The sequence below is a fragment of the Homo sapiens genome, chromosome 20, assembly GCF_000001405.40.
Source record: "Homo sapiens chromosome 20, GRCh38.p14 Primary Assembly".
NCBI classification, from domain to species: domain Eukaryota; kingdom Metazoa; phylum Chordata; class Mammalia; order Primates; family Hominidae; genus Homo; species Homo sapiens.
The window spans coordinates 33,186,093-33,189,779 of record NC_000020.11 but is presented as its reverse complement, the minus strand read 5'-3'; the positions used below and the strand labels follow the sequence as shown (position 1 = coordinate 33,189,779).

The window sequence follows — 3,687 nt, the reverse complement described above, 5'->3', positions numbered from 1 at the left end:
ACATTTCTAAAGCCATTTCCAAAAAATCAATGGCAACATGTTGGGACACAGCTACTTCAAATGGCAAAATGTCTATATCTACATTGGTTTTTATTAGCAGAGGTCAAATTCTACCTGTATAGCATGACATTCTTGTCTTTAGCTTTAAAAGAAAAAAAGCCTTTTCCATTTGCACCAGTTTGAAATATTTCTGAAATAAGCCTCCCTTAAAATGGATTAGTACAGTACTTATTCATATGACAGAGTTCATCCATGTAGTAAAAAGACAAATACAGGCCAAGTGCGGTGGCTTACACCTGTAATCCCAGCACTTTGGGAGGTCAAGGCAGGTGGATCACGAGGTCATGAGATTGAGGCCATCCTGGACAACATGGTGAAACCCCATCTCTACTAAAAATACAAAAATTAGCGGGGTGTGGTGGCGTGTGCCTGTAATCCCAGCTACTCGGGAGGCTGAGGCAGGAGAATCACTTGAACCTGGGAGGCAGAGGTTGCAGTGAGCCGAGATCGCGCCCCTGCACTCCAGTCTGGTGACAGAGCAAGACTCCATCTCAAAAAAAAAAAAAAAAAAAAAGACAAATACAGGGCTTCATGGGCTTTTTTTTGTTGTTTATTTGGTTAATTGTAGAAAATGAGAGAGAAATACTCACAAGCACGATCTGTTTAACAACTGTTTAACTCCTAGGTACATCAGAATGCAAAATATAGAATGCCCTAAAAGAGACTGACGAACAGGCATACAAAATTGCAGTGAAGCCTGGGATCAGCTCAGTTCCTGCCATCCCTTTAGCATTCCTATGAGGAGGTCTTTCTCTCCTCCTGGAGCATAGACCTTCGACCTAATAGAAAGGAACCTCAGAAAGGCAAGGCATTCTGATAAAACACTCCTCCAGCCTTTGCATGGGACATTTTATTTTTAATTTAAAAGGATCAACTGGCCTTGGTCAGCCTTAGGAAGGGAGGTATCACTTAGGTGAAAATATCTGGGGGAACTTTAAATACCTAGCTGCCTCTTCGCGCATTTAAATCAGACTGACTTTAGCAGTTCTTACAAAGAATTCCGCATAGCTATTCAGAGCAGTCACTCAAGTTTTGGTTCCCTTTTACATAGCTGCATTTGGAGATACGCTATGTGAGGCATGTTTAGGAAAAGAGAAACACGGCCGGGCATGGTGGCTCAGGCCTGTAATCCCAGCATTTTGGGAGGCCTAGGCGGTTGCATCACTTGAGGTCAGGAGTTCGAGACCAGTCTGGCCAACATGGCGAAACCCTGTCTGTACTAAAAATACAAAAAATTAGCCAGGCATGGTGGGTGCCTCTAATCCCACCTACTTGGGAGGCTGAGGCAGGAGAATTGCTTGAACCTGGGAGGTGAAGGTTGCAGTGAGCTGAGATCACATCACTGCACTCCAGTCTGGGCAACAGAGCAAGACTCTAGTCTCAAAAACAAACAAACAAACAAAGAAAACAAACAAAAAAAAACCCACTTATACCTGGAACTGATATTCTTCCAATTAACTTTTAGTCTTGTTGGTAAAGGCCGTTCCCAGATATCACTGTCTGTTAGCAGTGGGTTCACAGAGCTGCTATAGAGATGGTGTTTCCGGTGGACAGTGTCCAGGTTCTTGGTGTCTTGAACAAAGAATTGGACAAAACGCACAAACAAAGCAAGAAAGGAATGAAGAGATTTATTGAAAAGGAAGTGCACTCCACAGTGTGGGAGCAGGGCCGAACACGGGCTCAAAGGCCCTGTTACAGAGTTTTTGTGAGTTTAAATACCCTGTACTTGGGGTACGCCCTGTGTAAATGAACAGGATGAAGTAAAGTTACAAAGTCATTTACTCAGTGTAGGCCCTATGGAGAGGACATTTCCTGTCATAGCTGAAGTGTGAATTGGCCTTATGTTCCCTGTCTCCAGACTCTATTTTCCTGTTTCATCAGTGCTGATGGGTAGAGTGATTTGGTCAGTAAAGGTGAGCAGTGCTGTTCTGGGGCCTTCCCACCCGTCTGCTCATCCTTACACATCTGAACATAGCAGTCAATCAGATGAAACCATACTTGCCACATAGGACAGAGTGCAATCTGAATTTACCATCTTGGTATTTGATTGGAAGATTAGTTGGTCCAGCTGATGTTTTAACAGATATTGTTAGTAGGTCGTCTGAATGGGAGCTATCTCTAATCAAGGAATTTCCTCCTGGTGCCTCTTTTAATTTCTCTTTGGCTCTGTGGACATATTTCCCCCGTACCATCCTGTGGGAGCTCCTGCAGGGCCTTGCCAGACACGCACCGTCTTCAGGCACAGCTCCTCAGTGACCCTGTGGTCTCCCTGCTGGCTCCGCGTCCCTTCCCTGCCATTCCTGGAGGGCTCCAGACACCGCAGGGTCATGGGAGCAGGGTCACCGTGGCAAAGAGAGGTGGCCACTAGAGCTGGCTGGGGTCAGAGAAGGGTTTGTGTCCTTCCTGGATGTCAGTGGGAACCCCAAAATGAGTCCATCTGGGGTATCTAAAATGGTGGAGGAGGGGTAGGGGATGGGGTTCTTTCTCCCCAGGTCCGAAAACACAGATGGCAAAGTCCTTCGCAGACATGGTCACCCACAAATTGCCTACCCCAGGCTCCCCAGCTGCAAGCGTGGGGAATCCTGAGGCTGCGCCCCGGGGTCCTGGCCCTCACTGTCCTCAGTCAATACCAGTTGCCTACTACAGGGTTTCTTTTTTCTTTTTTTTAAGACAGAGTCTCACTCTCTCACCATTACAAATGTTGTCAGCATTGCTAATCTTGTACTTGGGTTTAATTATTTGCTTTTTGTTTCAGGTTTTTTGTTTTTTAAATTCCCATCATGAATACCCCTATGTCTTTGTGCTTAAATGTATCTGTACTTAAGTTTTTTGGACAGATTCCTGGAAGTGAAGCTAACTAAGTCTAAAACCTTGCCTCTTTCAGCACTTTTCATGACCTAGTTTTGCCTTCCCTGGTGGCTTAGAGGGGTGGGTGGGGTGAGTGGGTCCTGTCATTTTTTTTTTTTTTTTTTGAGATGGAGTCTCACTCTGTCACCCAGGCTGGAGTGCAGTGGCGTGATCTCCGCTCTGCAAGCTCTGCCTCCCGGGTTCATGCCATTCTCTTGCCTCAGCCTCCCGAGTAGCTGGGACTACAGGGGCCCGCCACTATGCCCGGCTAATTTTTTTTTGTATTTTTAGTAGATACGGGGTTTCACCACGTTAGCCAGGATGGTCTCGATCTCCTGACCTCGTGATCCACCTGCCTTGACCTCCCAAAGTGCTGGGATTACAGGCGTGAGCCACCGTGCCCGGCCTAGGGTTTCTTAACACTAGTGACATTTTAGGTTAGATGCTTCTGTTGTGAGGGGCTGTTCTGTGTATTATGGAATGGGTAGCACCACCCCTGGCCTCTACTCATGTGCTCTCCTGGAGTAGCACACACCTCATCCATTTGTGACAACCAAAAATATTGCCAGTGTGAAAGGAAAATATCGATGAAAGCTTTCGGATGGGCAGAAAATGAAGAGAAAAATCTTCCCCTCCCCCTCCCCCTCCCCCTCTCCCTCTCCCCACGGTCTCCCTCTCCCTCTCTTTCCACGGTCTCCCTCTGATGCCCAGCCGAAGCTGGACTGTGCTGCTGCCATCTCGGCTCACTGCAACCTCCCTGCCTGATTCTCCTGCCTCAGC

General features: G+C 46.9%; 1 pseudogene; it reads right to left on the bottom strand.

Annotated features, from left to right (window-relative positions):
* SOCS2P1 (suppressor of cytokine signaling 2 pseudogene 1) lies at positions 1,941 to 2,585 on the bottom strand (annotated as a pseudogene).